A 22,505-nucleotide genomic window follows, 5' to 3' on the forward strand; every position below is an offset into this window, starting at 1 on the left:
ACATGTGTTCCATGTTCCAAAAAAAGAATTTAAAAATTTATTTGGGGGCAGAACATATTTGTACGTTGGCAATTTTCCATGCATGTATAATGCAATCCTTCCTTTTCAAGATGACGCGGCTGAAAGTGCTACCAAGTATATGAATTTGGCTGGAAAGGTCGATGCTTGGTCAACAGACCTTGCCACAGGATTCATGTAAATATTGCCCTTTGGCTTGTGGCAACAGCTGCTATTTACAGAGCATGTGCTATCCTTATTTGTAAATCTGCCTAAAATTCATGATCTGTAGACTTTGTTCAACAAGAGTCATCTCATTTCTGAGCCTACTCAACACCTTGCTCTATCTGCTACTACTTTCCCCAATTATGTCTTTTCATTTGAAATGGTCTTGGATTGCTCTATTCCATTGGGGTTGGAGAACAGAGCAAACTTTTATAAAGAACTGGCTCTCACGCCTGTAATCCCAGCACTTTGGGAGGCCGAGGCAGGCTGATCACAAGGAGATCCAGACCATCCTGGCCAACATGGTGAAACCCCTTCTCTACTAAAAATACAAAAATTAGCTGGGTATGGTGGTGCGTGCCTGTAATCCCAGCTACTCGGGAGGCTGAGGCAGGAGAATCGCTTGAACCCAGGAGGTAGAGATTGCAGTGAGCGAAGATCAAGCCACTGCACTCCAGCCTGGCAACAGAGCGAGACTCCGTATCAAAAAATAAAATAAAATAAAAATAAAAATAAACTGGGAACCTCAGAACTAATCTTGGTCTACCAGTCAATACGTCCATTTTGGTAGATTATAGAGGTTATTCAACAATCATTCTCGAATAGCCAAACTTGTTTAGTAGCTACTAGAACATGTGTCCACTGGTGATATTAAATGTTTTACAAAATTCATAAAGGAAAAGCCAAAGGCTTCGTGTTCCTTCTCTTATTTTGCATCTGAAATTTGTCATTGAAACCACAGTATGACTTAAAACCACATTGTGATCCGACTGATTAATGTTCTTCAGAAACTGGCAGAAAAGATTCTGGACACACTGTCTTGCTTACAGCTACAGTAACCATTCTGTTCATATCAGTAAGCTTTCTCACTATTTTTTTAAAGACATTTATGATAGTGGCATTTTTGAAAATGTGATATTTCCTTGGTGATCTGTATTTTAAGGAAAAGGTCATGGTAATAACTAGTATATGTCTACCATTTCTTGAGCACCCACTATTGTATTAGGCACTGTGCTAGATTCTTTACATATGATATTGCTAATCCTCCAAATAATTCTATGAAATAAATATTATTATCCCTATTTTACAGATAAGAAAATGGAGATTTAGGCTAAACAACTCATCTAAGGTTCCACAGCTAGTAAGTGACATTCAAACCCCAGACTGTCTAGTCCAAACCTCGTTTTTCATCTTTATTAAGTTCACTGGTCTTCACAGGGCTTCCTCCTTGACAGTAGAAATTATACTGAGAAAATAACTGAAAAATATTTCTGCCATCTATCTCCATGGTGTTCCCTCTAAAGCAGCCGTGTCCGACCCTTTGAATGCAAGAACTTTTTTGCCTATCTGTGGTGGTGGATATCATGAAAATTCGGCATGGACCTTTTTTTTTTTTTTTTTTTTTTTTTTGAGTATCAGCTATCATTGGCATTAGTATTTTATGTGTGGCCCAGGACAATTATTCTTCCAGTATGACCCAGGGAAGCCAAAAGGTTGGACACCCATGCTCTAAAGTAAACTCTCAAAACAGTAATGGGACTCAGGACAGTTTGTGCAAAGAAGGGGAGAGCGTAACAGAAAGAACTGAGATGTCCAAGAAGAAAGGATTGGCAAAACATTGTATAGTACATTAATAAATGGAATGTTATGCAAGCATTAAGAATGATTATGTGTTGACTAGACGCGGTGGCTCATGCCTGTAATCCCAGAACTTTGGGAGGCCGAGGCAGGTGAATCACAAGGTCAGAAGTTCGAGACCAGCCTGGCCAACATGATGAAACCCCATCTCTACTAAAAATACAAAAAATTACCTGTGCGTAGTGGCGGGCGCCTGTAATCCCAGCTACTAGGGAGGCTGAGGCAGGAGAATTGCTTGAATTCTGGAGGGGGAGGTTGCAGTGAGGCGAGGTGGCACCACTGCACCCCAGCCTGGGCGACAGAGTGAGACTCCGTTTCAAAAAAAAAAAAAAAAAATGAATGATTATGTAATCAGGTATCTGTTGACATGAAAATATATTCCTGTATATTGTTAAGTGAAAACATACAGGCAAAAAGTTAGAATGATCCCATTTTCACCACACACACACACTGAAAAACACTATTTACATAAATGTATTTCCACAAAGGACAAACCCTGGAAGGTTCTACTCCAAATGTTAAACCAGTAGTTACATACAGCAAGGTGGTGGGATTGTGTGTAATATTTTTTTCTTATTTTGCTTTTCTATTCTAGTTTTCCTCAATGAAGGTGTTTCTTTATGTAATAGATAAATACCATTTTATAGATGAATCAAAACGTATTACTCAAAACTGAACAAGTTGAAATTAATCCTTAACAGAAGGAGTATGACCTTGTAGATAGGGTGAGTCAAAAACAAAAACAAAAACAAAAAAACAAAAAAAAACAGGCCAGGTGCAGTGGCTCACGCCTGTAATACCAGCACATTGAGAGGCCGAGGTGGGTAGATCATGAAGTCAGGAGTTCGAGACCAGCCTGGCCAAGAGGGTGAAACCCCGTCTCTTCTAAAAATAAAAAAAATTAACTGGGTGTGGTGGCAGGCACCTGTAATCCCAGCTACTTGGGAGGCTGAGGCAGGAGAATCGCTTGAACCCGGGAGGCGGAAGTTGCAGTGAGCCAAGGTCACACCACTGCACTCTAGCCTGGGTGACAGAGCAAGACTTCGTCCCGAAAAAAAAAATGAACAGAACAATTTCACACAGAAGAGACAATGCAGTAGTAATGTATAATGTAGCAGAAGCAATGTGAGTATTATACGGTTCACAATAATGTTACTTGATTGAGGAATGATTTTTGACATTGTTTTAGGCGGTATATAAAATGATTTTTCTACTTTTAAGCAATTTTGCAAAACTAGCTCAGGAAAAAAAATGAGATTTTCTTTCTTTCTTTTTTTTTTTTTTTTTTTTGAGACAGAGTCTCGTTCTGTCGCCCAGGCTGGAGTGCAGTGGCACAATCCCAGCTCACTGCAACCACCACCTCCTGGATTCAAGCGATTCTTCTGTCTCAGCCTCCCGAGTAGCTGGGACTACAGGCGTGTGCCACCACGCCTGGCTAATTTTTGTATTTTTAGTAGATATGGGGTTTCACCATGTCGGTCAGGCTGGTCTGAAACTCCTGACCTCTTGATCCGCCCGCCTTGGCCTCCCAAAGTCCTGGGATTACAGGCGTGAGCCACTGCGCCCAGCAAGATTTTCTTAAATGCTCCCAACCCTGACATTCTACCCACCCATACATGCCCTAAAACACGAAACACATGCTAAATAATCTGAATTGGGTTTGCTAAAGGCCCAATATTTTTTCACTATTTAATACTTTTTATTTCCACTTAAATAAGTCAGAGTTAGTTTCTATTACATGCAAGTAGAAATTCTCATGGATGCACATGTTACCATTGATTTCCATGTATTTACTATGTATGTAAAGGCACAATATTATCCATGGCGGTATTATTAGAGGCAAAATAGTACAATTATTACCAGCTTTGGCTGTAGAGTCAGAAAGACTTGGAGTTCAGATTCTACTAAATTGTTTAACCTCTCTCTCCTCTGATTTGCATCTGTAAAATGGGTATAATAATACCTAATTCAACGTGATCTCATGAGGATTTAATGTAAAATATGTGTATAAAACATTTAACATGATCCCGGCATATAACAGATACTCAGTGGATGGTAGTTAACAAAAAGAAAAAAGCAGGGTGCTGCTTTGAGTTTTGGCTAAGCCAAGGAAAAAGCCAGAATATGATAAAGTAAGTCTGAAAGTCAGTGCTAAACTAAAATAGGAATAAGGCGGAAGTGCTGTTTGCCAAGTTCATTTTCTCTGTTCATTATCATTTATCAGGGTCAGCAATTTGGTGCAGTTACACTTCCCCAAAGGTAAGTTCTGAAGAAAGGCAGTAATGAGGGAGAAGAGGGTTAGGCTACTTCTCTACTTAGACTGTGACTTTTTTGAGGACAGGAGTCATACTCGATTTGTCTTTGTTTAAAAAGAGGCCGGAGGGGCCAGGCACGGTGGCTCATGCCTATAATCCCAGCACTTTGGGAGGCCGAGATGGGAGAATCACCTGAGGTCGGGAGTTTGAGGGCAGCCTGACCAACGTGGAGAAATCCCGTCTCTAATAAAAATACAAAATTAGCTGGGTGTGGTGGCGCATGCCCATAATCCCAGCTACTTGGGAGGCTGAAGCAGGAGAATCACTTGAACCTTGGAGGCAGAGGTTGCAGTGAGCTGAAATCATGCCATTACACTCCAGCCTGGGCAACAAGAGTGAAACTCCATCTCAAAAAATACATAATAATAGTAAGAGGTAGGAGGGAAGGCAGTTCAGGGACTGGCTCCCTAGCTACATCATGCCCTCCCCACTCCACACATATTCTTCAGCTTCTATGTTGCCTTCTGGTTTCTCCCATTTCTCTTCCTTCAATCTTGTCCTGAGTGTCCATTCTTGCCAGATTTCACATGCATAATAATACACTTACATAACATTTTTCAGGGCTCTCCCCCAGCTTACCCACTGCGTGTGGAACAAGATACCAAAAGACAAAAGACAATAATGTCTACATACACACACACACACCACACACTCTCTCTCTCTCTCAAAAAAAAAAAAAAAAAAGGATTGGGTCCTTGTCCTGGGCCTAGATCAGTGGTTTTCAAACTTGAGCACATCAGCATCATCTGGAGGGCTTGTTAAAACACAGATAGTTGGCCCCACTCCCAGAGTTTCTGAATTGGTAAGTTTGGAGTGGGGCCAAGAATTTGTCTAACAATTTCTCCACTGATGCTGATGCTGTTGGTCCGGGGACCACACTTGGAGAACTAGTGACCTAGAACGAGGACCAGCAAACTTTTTCTGTAAAGGGCCAGGTAGTAAGTATTTGAGGCTTTACAGATTATAAAGTCTGTCACAACCGCTAAACTCTGCTGTTGTAACATGAAAGCAGCCATAGACTATAGGTAACCACATGAACATGGCTGGATTCCAATAAAATTGTTTTTATGGAAACTGGAATTTGAATTTCATATAACTAAATATTATTATTCTTTTGATTTTTTTAAACAATTTTAAATGTAAAAACATTCTTAGTTCAAGGGCCATACAAAAATGGGCTTCAGGCTGTGTTTGCTGACCTTTGCCTGAAAGAGACTCATTCTCTGTGGAAGACAAACACAGGTGGATGAAAGAAGACTTAACAAAGCAATTAATATATGAGAATGTCTTTAACCTCAATAGTCATCAGGGAAATGCAAGTTAAAACCACAATGAGGCCCGGCACAGTGGCCCATGCTTGTATCCCCAGCACTTTGGGAGGCCAAGGCGGGTGTATTGCTTGAGCCCAGGAGTTCGAGACCAGCATAGGCAACATGGCGAAATCCTGTCTCTACAAAAATAAAAAATAAATTAGTCTGGCGTGGTGGCATGCACCTGTAGTCCCAGCTACTCAGGAGGCTAAAGCAGGAGGATCACATATCTTTGGGAGGTCGAGGCTACAGTGAGTCATGGTCATGCCACTACACTCCAGCCTGGGGTGACATAACGAGACTCTGTCTCAAAACAAAACAAAACAAAAACAATGCGATACTGCTGCACATCCATTAGAATGGCTAAAATGTTTAAAGACTGACAACACCCAGAGCTTGTGAGGATGGGGACTCTCATAGAGTGCATGTGAAAATGTAAATTGTACAACCACTTTGGAAACCAGTTTGGCAGTATTTATTAGAGTTGAACACATATACACCATTTTGTAGTAACGACACAGAGATGTGCCACCTAGATTCTGCTTTGAGGAAGAACATGCTACTCAGGTATGCAGGGGAGGTACAGTCAGCAGATAGCCTCCAGCTGTCAGCTCCTTGAGACTCTGCCTTAGCTGCAAAGAGCTGCTTCACCCGAAGTCACACTCTTCCTAAGGTGACCATTTCAACCTGACACAGAACACACCAATGGGCTCTACTTGTTCCAAAACTCAGTGCCAAGTTAGCTCAAGCTTTGTCAGCCTTGTATCATAGTTCATCTCTCCTGCCCAATACTACTCCCTCTGCCTTCCTTCCACTGGTATTGATCCCTAACAAACATCTTGCACCCAATATTTAATCTCAGCTTTTGCTTCTAGAGAGCCCAACCTGTGACATCTTTCACCCCACTAGGATAATACACCCCAGAGGTAATCATTCATATATGCACCAAAAACCATGTACAATAATGTTCTAGGCTGGGTGCAGTGGCTCATGCCTGTAATCCTAGCACTCTGGGAAGCCGAGATGGGTGGATCACCCAAGGTCATGAGTTCGAGACCAGCCTGACCAACATGATGAAACCCCATCTCTACTAAAAAAAAAAAAATTAGCTGAGTGTGATGGCACATGCCTGTAGTCCCAGCTACTCAGGAGGCTGAGGCAGGAGAATCGCTTGAACCCGGGAGGCGGAGGTTGCAGTGAGCCAAGATCGCACCACTGCACTCCAGCCTGAGTGACAGAGTGAGACTCTGTCTCGGAGGGGAAAAAAAAAAGAATGCTCTTGTCAGCTTTTGCTTGTAATAGCCAAATGCTGGAAACCACCTAATGTCCATCAACAAGAGAATGAATGAAATCCGAATATAGTCACACAATAGAATATTGTACATCAATGAAACTGAAGGGCATCTATATACGACCACATGCATGACATACTATTGGCTGAAATAAGCAAGATATAAAGAATACATACCATACAATGCCATTCATATAAAGTTCAAAAGCAGGCAAAAGTTTTAATGACTGCATTCATAAGCAATAAAACTATAAAGAAAAGCAAAGAAATGATTATCACAGAACTCAAGATAATGGTTATGTCCAGGGATGACCTTCAAAAATTTTAATGACCACTATGGCATGGACTTTGACCACTCCAAACAGACAGAACCTTTTATACCTCACCAGGGAATGCTGGCTCAATGCGACCCTTGGTTTAATTCCGGGTGGGAGAAGAAGGAATGATCAGAGAAAGGCACCTGTTTTGGGTGCCTGGCCCAGAAGCGAAATTGGAAGCTGAAGTCTTGTATTGTTTGCACTTTCAAAGTGCTAACAATGTTCAATTTTTTAACCTGGGTAGAGGTTACATAGACATTCACTTTATAATTATTTCTCAAACTGTACATACACATTTTATGCACACTAAAAGAAGAAAAATTAGGCACACCATAGAAAAATATAAAGAAGTACTTTATAAATGTTTTTTTCAAAACGTGACTATAAAGCACTGAGGAGATGGTGCTGAGAGTAGCGATAAGAATGATCAGAGCTCATCATGTGCTTGTTCATTCTGTAACAATATTGTACAAAACAGACCTTGAAAAGTTCCAAGAACTTCCCTAAGAGGTACACAGAGACACTGTTATTCAGGAGGGAGCATTCCTTTCCAGCTGAGAGGAGACAGGAGAAAAGCTTCAAAGAAGGAAAAGCTTCATTTGAGGTGAGCATTGAAGAATAGAGGATTCCAGCAGGTACAGTTGCAGAGGAGGTTGGAGAAAAGATATAGCATTAGCACTGAGATGGAGTGAAGAATAAGTGGCATGTGATCAAGAAATTAAATAGTTACATTGGTTAGAGCAAAACTTCCCAATTTGTATTGATGCTTAACACACTTAGGATAATTCTAAATCACTCATTATTTTCTGTAAGGGACAGTTATACACTCCACAGATACCTATCGAAATGCTACTGTGCCAGGTACTAGGTGCTAGGTATACAGCCATAAGCAAGACAGACAAGGTTCTGGAGCTTATGCTGCTTATGTCTGGATTTAATGCCTTTCTAGAAGCAGCATTCTTTCTGATGGCAGAAAACAATCCTCCACTTAAACTCAGTCAATTCATGTTTAAACCCAATCAGATATAGGATTCACCCCCTCCCTCCTTCATGCCCCACATGTTGATTTTGAACTCCAGAGTTTATGCAAGACTGAAATAACAGTGGTGGGGAGGAGGAACCCACTTCTCAGGTTCTTGGTATATTCTGCACTGGGCTTCCTTGGGATGTGCAGTTATCCTGTCTTCCATCCCTGCTGCCATCCATTAGGGTGGCCAACTGCCCATCAGGCCTCTAATGACATGGTCTTTACTTCTCCCAAATGTGGCTTCTTCTCATCATGACCACAAGATTCCAGCTCTCAAATTCTCTTCTGGGCTGGGCGTGATGGCTAATACCTGTAATCCCAGCACTTTAGGAGGCCAAGGGAGGGTGAATCACTTGAGCCCAGAAGTTCAAGACCAACCTGGGCAACATGGCAAGACACTGTCTCTTATTTTTTTTTTTAATTACCTAGACATGGTGGTGCACATCTGTAGTCCCAGCTATTCGGGAGCCTGAGACAGGAGGATCACTTGAGCTCAGGAGTTCAAGGCTGCAGTGAGCTATGATTATGCCACTGCATTCCAGCCTGGGCAACAAAGTGAGACTCTGTCTCTAAATAAACCAAAGCATTCTCTTACTTTCCTGCTCTACTCCTTCTTCTCAGTTCTGAGGCTCTTGTCTACTGAGGGTAGAGGTACTGAGGGTAGAGGTATGGGTTGAGGAACATAACACATCCTTCTCAACAGAGACTCTTTCCAAATCTTCCTGTCTTACACCCTGGACTGAGACTTAAAATGATAACCTAAAAACCAAGAATATATTTTCCCCTTCCTTTGTGACACCTGCATTAGAGATAAGACCAGCCTCATGTCTCCCTAACTGCATCCAGAAGGGTCACATGATTGAGAGTAGCAGGGAGCTCAGGCAGCCTTCATAGGTCATCCCACTATATCCATCACAGTATGGTTGAATGTTACTAGGCCTTGCAGCATTCACAAATAGACAAAAACCCTTTTCAAGACCTGAAATTGGAATTATTGAATTTTGTGCTTTAAAAAATATCAACCTGCTTATTTTAATAATTTTTGCATTTTGTTTCTAAATAATGATATTAGAGATCTCATCATTTGACTTTGTAGATGTGGATAATTTTTTATTCCCAATGAGTGAGAAAACAAATTGTATTTAGCCATAACTCAATTTTCTTTTTAAGGATTTCTGAAGTGCTTGAGAAATTTTTATGAGCTATATAAGAATTTTGATCAGATAAATGCAGCTTCTGGGTCTGATGAGTGTTATGTTGGGAATTTTTAGAATTGTAATCATTTTATGCTCTGATTTCAATCATCAGCATGTCTTTGATTCTTTATGGATATATATTAAACAGCTTATGTATCATTTTTTATAAATTAACACTCCATAAAGGTCAAGACCAAGATGGCAAGCTAGCAGTGTTCAGCTAAATGATCGACTAAGTATTTGAGTCATGGACACATCCATTTGATTGCCACTAACTGCTGCACATGTTCAAATCTGAAGGGAAATGATGGGCAGAGCATAAAGTTTATAAAGAGTTTCCTTGGGAGATAACTCTGGAATGATGCATTCAGGACAGATCCTTGGAGCTTTAATGCCAGGCTGATGCCATATTCTTTCAGTTCAGCATCTCCAATTTCTGAGAGGAAGAGGCAAGCAGGCCTGGGCAATGCTGACCTGCCTATGGGATTCACTAAGCAGAAAGGAGAGCCTAGCCTTGGTGAATGTGATAGGGGTAGAGAATGAAGGAAATTAAGAAACTAGCCCGCATAGAAATAAAGTAGCAAAGGGAAAGAAGGGCCTGGAGGGCATTGTGTGCCGAAGGAGGCCAGTTTTTCCTGCTTGCTGTGCCTGTCGCCATTTCACCAAGAGTATAGGTGATAGGCTGTGGCCCCAAGTAATGAGCTTTTCTCACCCCAAACTCTATAAGGAATGAAAATAGACATAAATAACATAGAAATGTGTAAGTGGAAATATAGAAATGCAAAACAGAAATATGTAAATAAAAATGAACTCTTTATGTTGCTCTGTATGGAAAGCCATACCCATGCTGGATTTGTGTATATGAAAAGGGAGGCTTTTCAACTAGTGGGGATTTAAAAATAAATGAATCATTTATGCCTCCACTTGGCCTGCCTTCCAGCCTCTGGCTGCTGACTCACCTATACAAAATCTTCCTTCCCAGCCTCATCTATGTTAGGCAGGCCTGTTTTTGCCTTCGCAGGCCCTAAACACTGTCACTTGTGGAGACTTCAGCCAACATCATAATAAACATATTAAAATGCATCCACATCCTGCATTAAACATTTATATTTTTGCTATAAATTTTTGAAAATGCTTTGGTAATTTTGCTTTTGAAATTATTTGTCTGTGCATAACTAATTTAATTTACATGGCTGTGATTTCTCCATAAGAATTACATGTACGTGGGAATTCTTGGGAAGTGAGAAGATCCAACCTAAAAATCGTCTTCAAATATAATGGGTTTTTAAATGCATAATAAATTTAACTGTTAATGAACTTGATATACTGTTCTATTTTGTATGCCATTTAATTATTATTTTTGAATTTGTCATTTTAGTATTTTGTAGCCTTTACTTAAAAACAAATTTTTTTAGAGACAGAGTCTCCTTCTGTCGCCCAGGCTGGAGTGCTGTGGCACAATCATAGCTCACTGCAGCCTTGAACTCCTGGGCTCAAGTGATCCTCCTGCCTCAGCCTCCCGAGTAACTGGGACTGTAGGCACATACCACCATGCCCAGCTAATTTTATTTTATTTTATTTTTGTAGAGATGGGGGTCTCGTTAGATTGCCCAGGCTGATCTCAAACTTCAAATGGTCCTTCTGCTTTGGCCTCCCAAAGTGCTGGGATTGTAGTTGTGAACCACTGTGCTCGGCTCTAGTCTTTTTTAAAGATCCTGTTTTTTTTAATTTTGTTTCTGAAAAGCCTGTAAGTTCTAGACACTTAGTGATAGTTGCCTAATAGATAAAAGACAGGCACTGAGCACCCACTGAATTTGTGTGTGTTTGTGTATGTGTGTACACGCACGCATGTGCAGATGGTGGTGGTAAAGGTGGTGAGATTCATGTTTTCTTGAAGCCAGAGTTTCATTTATTTGAATTTTATTCAATTGTCTTTTAACTCTTTGCATTGGAAGCCACTTATATGCAACCATCATTTCCCCTGTGAGAGACCTCAGTTTTTAGTGTCCTTACCTCAATATATTTTAATTTCCACACAACCTCTTATTCTTCACTTAACAAATATTTATTGAGTGCCCACTATGTGCAATGCACTGTTTAGGTGCTGAGGATACTGTAAAGTTGGAGGAAGAAGTATCTCGCCTTTTCCCTAAGGCCGATTCCGCCATCTACATCTTGGATCTTTGTCCCTCTCAATTACTGAGGGATTTTGCTTGCAACCTTACTGCCTCTCTCTTCTAGCATCTTAAAAGGCCCCCTCTGGCCGGGCGCGGTGGCTCACGCCTGTAATCCCAGCACTTTGGGAGGCCGAGGCGGGTGGATCATGAGGTCAGGAGATCGAGACCATCCTGGCTAACAAGGTGAAACCCCGTCTCTACTAAAAATACAAAAAATTAGCCGGGCGCGGTGGCGGGCGCCTGTAGTCCCAGCTACTCGGGAGGCTGAGGCAGGAGAATGGCGTGAACCCAGGAAGTGGAGCTTGCAGTGAGCCGAGATTGCGCTACTGCAGTCCGCAGTCCGACCTGGGCGACAGAGCGAGACTCCGTCTCAAAAAAAAAAAAAAAAAAAAGGCCCCCTCTTTGTTGGTTCCTTCCTCTTTGCTTTAAAGTGGCTTCAGGCTTTGTCAACAACCTCTGTTTGACCCTTCTAACTAATTTAATTAAAATTGTACTTCGTTCCTTTTTATTTCCAAACCTCTTCAATCTGTGGTCTCTTGTCTCCGTTTTCTCACAATACAGTTCCTCCTCAATTCCCCATAATCTTGTTTCTATCCTCACCACTTATTGAAACCAAACAATTATTGGTCTCCAGTGAACTCCTTGACACGTCCAAAGAAAGTCTCTTTGGCCCTCATTTTCTTGTCCTATTTTCAGCATTTGATACTGCTAACCTCCCCTGCATATTCCTTCTTTATCTTTCGTTTTCATTGACTGCAAATGATTTTCAGTGCAGGAAAGTACATGGAATAACAGAACCAATATATGTACCCACCACCCAGTTCTATCAAATCTTGCAACATCACTTTTCAGATTCTGTTTTGAGAAATAAATATTAGATATATTTGATATTCTCTGTATGCCTCCCCCGAGTGTCAATCCTCTCCCTCTCTTAAATTTGGTGATCATGCCCTTTCATGTTTTATATACTATTACAGTACTACTCATCTATGTAGCCATAAGCAATAGATGATATTTTCAGACTTTATATACACAGTATACTGTACATGTTTTGCAATTTGCTTTTCACTCAACATTATATTTTTGAAATTTAGCTGTTACTACCCATAGCTCAAATTCATTCATCGAGAACACCATTATTTATTCATTCACCTGCTGACATTTACTTGGCTTCCATTTTTGAGATTACAAATAATACTGCAATGAACATTCTTTTATATGTCTCTTTGTGCATATAAAAGGTAGAGTTTTGCCAGTGTCTATATCTAGAAATAGAATTTCTAGATTGAGGGGTATTGCCTTTATTAGACATCGTCAAATTGTTCTTCATAGCAGTTCTACCAACTTAAACTCCTTCTAGCCGTAAATCAGAGTTCCACTGCTAGAACTTCAACAACACTTGGGGTTGTCTGACTTTTTAAATTTTCACAAAACCGATGGTTGTGAAATGGTATCTCGTGGTTTTACTTTTCAATTTCCCTGAATAGTAATAAAGTTAGGCATCTTTTCATGTCTTTATTGGCCATCTGGGTTTCCTTGACTATGAATTACTTACTCAGATATTTTGTCAATTTTTCTATTAGGTTTCTTTCTTATTTATAGGAGTTCTTATATATCCTGGATACCAAGTCATTCATTCATTTAATCAATATTTTTCTAGCACCTACTTGGCTCCAAGAATGGTTCTAGGCACTGAGAATGCAGCTATGATCAAAACAGACAAAATCCTTGCACTCATGGAACTCAACATTCTAGCGGGTGAAGGTAAATGACCAATAATATTGATAAATAAAACAGAAGTGGTAGATAGTGATACATAAGCAGGGAAGAGGGATAGGGAACATGTATGTGTGGTGATGGAGAAGGGGATTGTTGAATTACAATTTTCAATAAAGTGGTCTAGGAAGGCTTCAGTGAGAAAGTGACATTTGAGCAAAGACCTGAAGGAGGTGAGAGTGCATGCAGAGTGAACAGCAAGTGTAAAGGCCCTGAGGTAAGAGTGTGCCTGGCAAGTCCTAGCAACAACAAGGAGTCAGTGTGACTAAGCAAAGCTAGTTAGGGAGAGTGGTGGGAAATGGTGGGAGATGTCCGAAAGGTGATGACAGCTTGTCTTTTTTTTTTTTTTTTTTTTTTGAGACAAGGTCTTGCTCTGTCACCCAGGCTGGAGTGCAGTGGCGCCATCACAGCTCACTGTAGATGTGACCTCGCTGGCTCAAGGGGATGCTCCCACCTCAGCCTCCTGAGTAGCTGGGACTGCAAGCACTTGCCACCACATCCAGCTAATTTTTATAGTTTTTGTAGAGACAGGGTTTTGCCACGTTTCCCAGGCTGGTCTTGAACTCCTGGGCTCAAGTGATCCTACCACCTCGGCCTCCCAAAGTGCTGGGATTACAGGCATGAGCCACTGTGCAGGCCAGTTTGTCTTTTAACTTGTTTATATTGTCTTAAAGTACATACATTTTGAAATTTCATGTAGCTAAATGTCTTATTCTCATTCCATATTCCAAGCTCATACTCAATTTTTTTTTCTGAAAGTTATAAAGTTTTGCTTTTCACATTTAGATCTTTAATCCACCTGGAACTGATTTTTCTTCCATGGTTTGAGGTAGGGGTCTAATTTTTATAATTTTCCATATGGATAAGCAGTAGTCCTAGTACCACTTAGTGGATAATCCATTCTTTCCCCACTGATTTGAAATGTCCCACACGCTGCATATCAACCTTCCGTATATGTGTGGTCTGTTTGAGGGGTTTATATTGTGTTTCATTGATTGTCTATCTCCACAGCATACTTTTAATTACTACAGATTTACAGTCACTCTTGATATCTAGTGTATTATAGATTCTGGAGCAAATGAATAACACGATCGAAAAATTACTTTGGGAAAAATATTTTTATGGCTGTCAACAGAGTAAACATGTCAAAGGAAAGAGTAAACCCAACAGGATTTATTTAAAGAAAAGTGCAATAACCCAGATAGGCTATCACAAGGGCTTACAATAAAGTTATGGCAGTGTGAATGGAGAGAAAATAAGGAATCTAAAAGTAATTCCACGTAAAATATTAACAGGGTGTGTTGACTGATTGGATATAGAGATGAGGAGGGGGAAGACGATATATGGCTTTCCAGTGAAATGATAATGAGTTAGTTTTGTGACGCAGTGATGTGTTAACAATGGACTCTATTAGGTAAGAGGTCTGGGCCAGGGATATATATTTGGACATTGTCTAGTTAGAGGTGAACTGGAGGGGACGCAGAGGAGGAGCAAAGGTCTGGGCTTTGGGGAATTCTCCGATTTAGGGCGTGGAAGAAAGAAGAGGAAAGGAAATGGTAGGATAACCAACACGGGACATTATAACCTTAAGAAATATATATATATATATATATGTATTTTTTTACTGAATGATGTGGGTCGTATTGACACAACAGGTTTGAGATCTCCCATAGGTATGACTGTGTTTTGTTTCTGTGGCCTTCAAAGTCCTCAGAACAATTTTGATGTCACAGGTGGCATTTAAAACCCATTCCTTGCTGGACCTGGTAGAGACGCCCCCAGTCCGTCAGGTCTCTCGCTGCAGTTCCGCAGTTTGACCGCAGGGGACGGAATCTGCGGCGGCCTGGAAAACTGGCGGGGGCGCGAGGCGCCGCTCTCTCTTGGGTCAGATTCTCAGCTCCCAGCTCCCCGCTCCCGGCTCCCGGCGCCCGGCGCCCGGCGCGGAGCTGTTCCTCAAACGACACGCAGCCGAGGTGGGTGGGTGTGGGGACGCGGGAGCCAGTGTCGTCGGATCGGCCCGCAGTCCGCTGTCCTGCTGAGCCCGGAGGCCGCCTGGATGGAGCCGCCGCTCCCGGTCGGAGCCCAGCCGCTTGCCGTATCCGCCGGAGAGAAGGGAGAGGGGAGGCCGCGCAGGGCCGGGGGTGGGGGTCGGGGGCCCTGCGGAACACGGTGGGGCGGGGCAACCGGGTGGCCCAGAGGCCGAGCAGAGAGGGGGAGGGGGCCGGCGCGGGAGACGAAGCAGGGCGGGGCGGGGCGGGGGAGGGCGGCGGTGGGGGGGGGGTGGAAGACCCCCTTCGCCCCGCAGTGCACCACTCCTCCCCACCGCGCTTCCGAAGGAGACCCTTGACTAGCGCCCGCATACTGTCGAGGGTATGGAGATGAAGGGTCCTCTCCGGGAGCCCTGCGCCCTGACCCTAGCCCAGAGGAACGGGCAATATGAGTAAGTAACCACCTGATTCCCACAGAGGAGGGGAGCCTGCCATTACCTCCCAACCCCAAACCGCGACGGGTCACCCACTGTCCTCCTACTGAAGCCACGCGGGCAACAGGTTCAGGTCCAGGTGTGAAGTGCCAGTGCTCTCTAACCTCGGGGCTTTGTCCCCAACTTCCAAGCCTCTGGATTGTGCTTGGCAGTGTGGCTCAGTGGAAGGACTGAATGGGCGGGGAAGCAGGAAGCCTGGGTTCTTAGTTCCTGCCCCTGCAACTGACATGTGTTGTGTAACGTTGGGCAAGTCAATAAAGCTTTCTGGGCCAAAGTTAACTCTTCAGTTTAATAAAACCATTAACTGCCTTACCTTACAGCCTTTGGAATTATAACTGGGGGAAAAATAAATGCGAGAGTGGCTTCCAAAAAGTAAAAGTGCTATGGAAATGCTTCATTGTTAACGTTACAGACTTGTCTTAACCCTATTCAGCTGGTTTCTCCAGTCTCCCCGTCCCCTTATCCCACTGGGTTGAAGGCATATTCATTAATTCAGTAATGGTTTAGTGTAGGCCAGAAACTGCCTCACTTACTGACTTTACTGTTAGAAAGAAAAGGTAATGAAATGTGTAGAGATAGAAATGACAGTATTTTATCAGTGTGTCACCTTCCTCTCTGCCATAGGAGCTCCGTAAATACTGTTGACTGATTGATCAAAAGATTATTTTGATAAGCTATCACCATAGCTGCTAACCTCACTCTATTGTCACTAATATCTTATCTCAAAAATATCCATGGTGACCATTACGTATCATAGGCCCCTATCCCTGTGTGCCCAAGACACCTCACTTGGATATTCATTGGCTTCTTGACATCATATTCCTTCCCAGTTTAAAAATTGTTCACTTAAATCTTGCCATCTCCCAACATTGGCTTCTGCCTAAAACCAATTTTCTCAGTCCCCACTTTTAGATCCTCTGTATCTATGCTGTCAGATTTACACGGAAGAAATTCCCACTGGCCCAACCTGCTCTTCTCTGAGACTATTGGTGCCACTCTAACTGGATGTCAGCTAATTCTGTGAAGTAGCTCTTTCATAGGTCCTGCTTAGTCAGCTCTACTGGGAAGTTCATCAAACCCGGATTTCATCAAACCCTGGAAGACTAGTTTAATGAAACTAAACTAAATTCAGAATTTAATAAAACAAAATTCAGCAGAAAAGTGGAACACCACTAACATTTCCAAAGGCTAGAGTGGGTTACAGAGAGGTGACCCTTGGGCAAACCAGTAAAACTTGTGTGCCTTGGTTTCCTCTAATGTAAAAACAAAATCATGAAGATTGAATAGAGTAGCTACATTGTTGAGATGACCACAGCCCAGAATCTAGTCCCTCGGATTAGTAGATTTGGAACTCTGTTGAGCTAATAAGGAAGTCGTGTGTTCCAATTCTGTGTAAGTTATGGGGGTATAGTTGGGGGTATATGTGGGGGTATGGGGCTGCTATATAACTAACATTAATATATAGGTAACACTATATAACAACTATATAACTAACAACTAATATAGTTGTTGCTATATTAGCAGTTTATATATAAACTATGTAAATAGTTTTAAATATATATAAACTATAGTTTTAAATACATATAAACTATAGTTTATATATAAACTAACATATAACTAACAACTAATATAGTTGTTGCTATATAACTAACATTCAATGGCTGCTTATGTGCCAGGTACTGTTCTAAGCCCTTTTCATTAGTTAGTTCATTTAATCCACATGTGAGGGTTACTATAAGATAGTAATATCATCATCCCCCTTTTATAGATACAGAAATTGAAGCACAGACAGGTTAAGTCACTTGTTTGCAATTAGGGAGTAGAATACCTGAGATCTGATCCTATGTAACATGTCTCAGAATTACACTGAGAAGTTTCTCTTGAAAGCATTTGCTGGAGACACCTAATACCATAATACCATCTGTAATCCTCATATTCTTGTCTCTCTGGTGTCTTTTCTGACTCGAGTGTCCAGAACTTTTTACTTTTGGCTTTTTTATCCTAGAACTTGAAGCCTGACTTAAATCTTTAGGTCTGTGGTTCCTACTGTCAACCATAGGAAATTTGCTTGACCAAAATTACAATTAAAAATCAGGGTTTTTTTGGAAACAGGGAATCAAACACTTAAGATTCATATTTTTCAAGGATAATAGATTATGACAAAACCTGTTTGACCTTTAACCTTCCTTGAACAAATCAAAGTGTTTCCTAGGGATAAGGCAGAGTTGGCATTCAGGATTTGTCACTCTTTTCTGTTTGACAACTACCAAATTCTGAATTCCATTGTTTTGCTGTATACCAATTATTTCTAATCTTTATATTCTGAAATGAATAATTACACTCAGAATTTTTATGCTTATTCTTAGCCCTACTCTTTTATTGTAATTTAGTGGGTAACACGTAGTAAATACTCAATAAATGTTGGTGAAATTCACTTAAATTCTCAGTTTATTTGTTTTGTAATAGTTTTTAACAGTACTGTCCAGATGAAGCTTTAATGCTAATGTTCAACACCATTTCTTGTTTATGTATTTTGAGATTTTAGTGGTTTGTGTTTATCTTCCTCAAAGTAAGCTCTTCCTCCTTAACCCTTGATTTCTCAGCCTTTTATCTGGTTTCTGGTTTCCATCTGGGTTTATAGGACTCTCCACTCAACTCATGAACTTTCCAGATGGAAAGGGGCCTGCCCCATATTCCTGTAATCACCTTAGAGTACAAACCCCTGCAAATTAGGCAAGAAGGATCACAGCAGAAAAACAGCATTAATACTTTTATTTCCCTTAGTTCTATCTAAGTAATTACTTATCCTATCCCAGGTTATCCTCTTCAAAGTTAACACATTTGAAAATGCAAAAAGCAAAAGCAACAAGCACCCCCAAAAGACAACAAAATAGAAATCAAACCCTTCAAAACAATGACATTTTAATGTCAGAAGTTGGACAGTTTCATTGAAAAATTCACCGCTGCTTATAGCTTAATTAAGCTAGTTAATTTATTCAGCCAGTATTTGTTGAGCATCTATTAGGCTGCAGACAAAACTGAATATGATCTGGTCTTTGCTTTCAAGGAGCTGAAATCAGTGAGGGGAAATAAATATAACCATAATGGAGTGTGTAAGTGTTCTATTAGAGGGGCAAACAAAGGCGATAAGGCTGCTGGTTCTGCTTGGGGGTACTGAGGACAGTTTCATGGAGGAGGTGATATTTGAGATGAAACTCGGAAAGAAACAGAGTGTTCCTGACAAAAAACTAAAAACAATACTTGAAGAGTGCTTGACTTTGAGAATGCTAGTTGACGTTCAGAATGGCTGTTTACCAGTAGGTCGTACCTTGATTCTGGACCACTAAGGATAAATAATAAATGAAAAATTAATATTTCAGGAGTACGTATGGATTTAGAAGTATGGATTTCATCTGGGGAGTCAGGTTTACTCATGTTTATGTAGAAATACCAGCGTAAACTTGGAAACCAGAGAAGAAACAAGGGATTTGAAGGCAATCCAGTTGTGATATCTGCCACCTTGTTGGTCACTGATATTTTGACCAATCCAGCTGGCTGAGCACCCCCTCTTACTCCTCCATGAACCTGAATGCTTGTTTGAAGAGACAGATCCATTCTTTGGTAAAAAGCCATGGGAATATAATTGGAAGGTTAATTTATGAATTTTCTAATTCATTGATTCCACACACACGAGCAACTCCTGTGTGCCAGGCTTTGTGCTAGGTACTAGAAATTCCGTGGTGTAAAGATAGCTGTGGTCCCTGCACTCATGGACTTCACATCTAGCTGTCAGTTCTTCACTCTGGTATGCATACTCTGAAGCTATATACTCTGTAATTCATGCTCTTAAGCTTGTACACTGTTTTTAGGATATATGGCCTAGAGAACAGTGTGGGTAATCAGATGTTCATCACCACTAGCATCCTTTTAGGCCTAGAGCAATATCTAGCTGTCATGATGCTCAGATCCAGGGAACTAGATGCAGCAAGTCTAGTAAATACAGACTAGATTTGTATAACAGGACAGTGAAGTATTTTTTTGCTAAATGAGTTTTTCAGTGGCTGTTCTTTGATGCGTTCTTCTGTTTCCTAGGTTAATAATCCAGTTGCATGAGAAGGAACAGCATGTTCAAGATATCATTCCTATAAATAGCCACTTCAGATGTGTTCAAGGTACTAGCTTTAATTCCTTAGCTAGTTTTATAATGTTTTTTCTCGGTCATTACTGCATTATGTAATACCATACATATTTAAATTTGTCAGTGCATGTAAAATGAAATGTATTACTCTTTGCATAAAAAGATAACATTGAGGAGATGATACTTTCTCTAAGAATGCTGAAGGGTTATATCGAAATATATTTGTATATGTGTGTCTATAGTCTCACCTGTTTCCTTGGCTTGGGTTAGAGATGTATGTAGATTGTTACCTGTGTAGGTAGTTTTTTATGCTGACTGACCTATATGTGGATTTAAATAACATTCTTGGGCTTAACGGACACAGTGCTCATAAGGTACCAAGGTCACTTGGATTCACACACATTCAGCACTTTCTCCACATGCTATTTGAAATTAAGACATTTGGCAACATGCCTTGCCAGACTGTAATATCTTACACTCAATTGTGCTGATTCTCAAACCTTGACATTGGTGAATCATAAGAAAATTGACTCTGGGGAGGAAATATTTGGCCTCCTGCCCTCAAATTTGGGGACGGAGCATAGAAAATCTGTTGTTTCATCTGCTACAATGAAACTTAAAAATTGGGAGGTTTGTGTAGGAGGTGTTGCTTCTGTCATCTCACATTGCTCTAGAAAGGAAATTGATACTAGAGAACAAATGCATTCTGTTTTCACTAGGACCAGTGGCTTTATCTAGCAGAAGCATTCTGTATCAATTGTAGCTTCTTGGAAAACTTGTTTTTTCAAGACAAGGTCATTTCCCAGGCTCAAGTGATCCTCCCACTTCAGCCTCCCAAGTAGCTGGGACTGCAGGTGCACCACCCCCCAGCTAATTTTTTTTGTAATTTTTGTAGTGACGGGGTTTCGCCATGTTGCCCAGGCTGGTCTCAAACTCCTGAGTTCAAGCAATCTGCCTGTCTCGGCCTCCAAAAGTGCTGGGATTACAGGTGTGAGCCAGCATGCCTGGCCTTTCTTGGAAAACTTAAATCTTACCTTGCATGGATTATTTCTTAAACTACATTGAACTTTTTTTTTAATCACTAAGTGACATGTACATAATGTAATACATTTGGAAAGAACAGAAAAGTGTAAAGAAAATAGGTCACTTAAATTCCCATCCTTTCAGAGATAAACACCTAGCATTTTCCTTTTTTCTACACATACATTGCAGGGTGAGTGATACTCATCTTATACAATTTTTTGTCTCTTCTACATGCTATTGTATTATGAGCACTTTTCCATGCCATTAATGGCTATATACCATACCAGTTTATGAATGGTCCATAATGTAATTATTCCCCTATGTTGACATTTGGGTTATTTTTCACTAGTATCAATAGTAATATGATGAACATCTCTGCACCTAAATATACCTGCACATCTCTTATTTCCTCAGGATGTATTCCTATAAGTGAAAATACTAAGCTAGTGGATATGACTTTTTAAGAATGCATGTGTTAAGAATTAAAAATAACTTCAATGAATAGTGTCCATATTTGTATGGAAGAATGAAGTGATAGCTATTTAGCCTGCCCTATGTGAGAGAGACATACTAAACAAGGTAGCCACGTTCCATAGTAAGTTGCTGTGGCCACCTCACTTTTCAAGGTGTAGGCCTTCACAGAGGGGAAGAGCCAAAGAACATGACTTTAAATTAATATCCTATTAGCTTTGTACCTTTTTACTCTACCTCTAGGATCTCTTTTACCCTGTTTCTCTTAGTATTTTTAATAAGAAATCAATTGCTGATTGTTAGATCGTAGTGCTGCTTCTTAGAACCTGGGAAAATATGTGCACACATGTAACGTAGTTCCCCATGACTAAAGGAAGACTTACTTTTGATTTTCATCTCCTTTCTATTTCCTGACCCCTGCATCTATTTTGTAAACTGTGGCCAGGCGCGATGGCTTGCACCTGTAATCCCAACATTTTGGGAAGCTGAGGCAGGAGGATTGCTTGAGCCCAGGGGTTCAAGACCAGCCTGGGCAACATTGCGAGACCCCATCTGTACAAAAATAAAATTAAAAAAACAACATTTGCCAGACGTGGTGGCAGATACATGTAGTCCCAGCTACTTGGGAGGCTGAAGCAGGAGGGTTGCTTGAGCCCAGCAGTTCGAGGCTGCAGTGAGCTGTGATTGTGCCACTGCATGCTAACCTGGGTGAGAGAGTGAGGCCATCTCTAAAGAAAAAGAAAACCGGCTGGGCGCGGTGGCTCAGGCCTGTAATCCCAGCACTTTGGGAGGCCAAGGTGGGCAGATCACAAGGTCAGGAGATTGAGACCATCCTGGCTAACACGATGAAACCCCGTCTCTACTAAAAATACAAAAAATTAGCCGGGCATGGTGGCGGGTGCCTGTAGTCCCAACTACTCGGGAGGCTGAGGCAGGAGAATGGTGTGAACCTGGGAGGCGGAGCTTGCAGTGAGCCGAGATCGTGCCACTGCACTCCAGCCTGGGTGACAGAGCAAGACTCCGTCTCAAAAAAAAAAAAAAAAAAAGAAAAAGAAAACCATCTGTAAACACTCAGGTTTTACAGAACTAAAAGTTAATGAAGAACAGTAGTAAGCATACAAT

General features: G+C 41.2%; 1 protein-coding gene across 3 annotated transcripts in view, besides 4 other annotated features; it reads left to right on the forward strand.

Annotated features, from left to right (window-relative positions):
* Positions 14,978–15,272: an enhancer, noted in NCBI's record as "tiled region #13828; HepG2 Activating DNase unmatched - State 1:Tss, and K562 Activating DNase unmatched - State 1:Tss". NCBI's record gives its function as "activates a minimal TATA promoter and a strong SV40 promoter by Sharpr-MPRA in HepG2 and K562 cells {active_cell/tissue: HepG2 | K562}" and the evidence as "EXISTENCE:reporter gene assay evidence [ECO:0000049][PMID:27701403]".
* Positions 14,978–15,358: a biological region, named in NCBI's record as "Sharpr-MPRA regulatory region 13828".
* Positions 14,989–15,048: a silencer, noted in NCBI's record as "silent region_20973". NCBI's record gives its function as "represses an Ori minimal core promoter by ATAC-STARR-seq in GM12878 lymphoblastoid cells {active_cell/tissue: GM12878}" and the evidence as "EXISTENCE:reporter gene assay evidence [ECO:0000049][PMID:35858748]".
* The window catches only part of OCRL (OCRL inositol polyphosphate-5-phosphatase), a 52,298-nt gene continuing 44,937 nt past the window's right edge, over positions 15,145–22,505 (forward strand). For 2 of the 3 annotated variants that reach the window (NM_000276.4, NM_001587.4), the window contains exons 1-3: positions 15,145–15,364; positions 15,630–15,709; positions 19,844–19,923. In NM_000276.4, the coding sequence (NP_000267.2) occupies positions 15,326–15,364; positions 15,630–15,709; positions 19,844–19,923 (199 nt within the window). In that variant the 5' untranslated portion in view covers positions 15,145–15,325. Of the gene's footprint in view, positions 15,365–15,626; positions 15,710–19,843; positions 19,924–22,505 lie in introns of all 3 variants that reach the window. The other variant, NM_001318784.2, reaches the window with a different exon arrangement.
* Positions 15,159–15,358: a silencer, noted in NCBI's record as "silent region_20974". NCBI's record gives its function as "represses an Ori minimal core promoter by ATAC-STARR-seq in GM12878 lymphoblastoid cells {active_cell/tissue: GM12878}" and the evidence as "EXISTENCE:reporter gene assay evidence [ECO:0000049][PMID:35858748]".

The sequence above is a fragment of the Homo sapiens genome, chromosome X (assembly GCF_000001405.40).
Source record: "Homo sapiens chromosome X, GRCh38.p14 Primary Assembly".
NCBI classification, from domain to species: domain Eukaryota; kingdom Metazoa; phylum Chordata; class Mammalia; order Primates; family Hominidae; genus Homo; species Homo sapiens.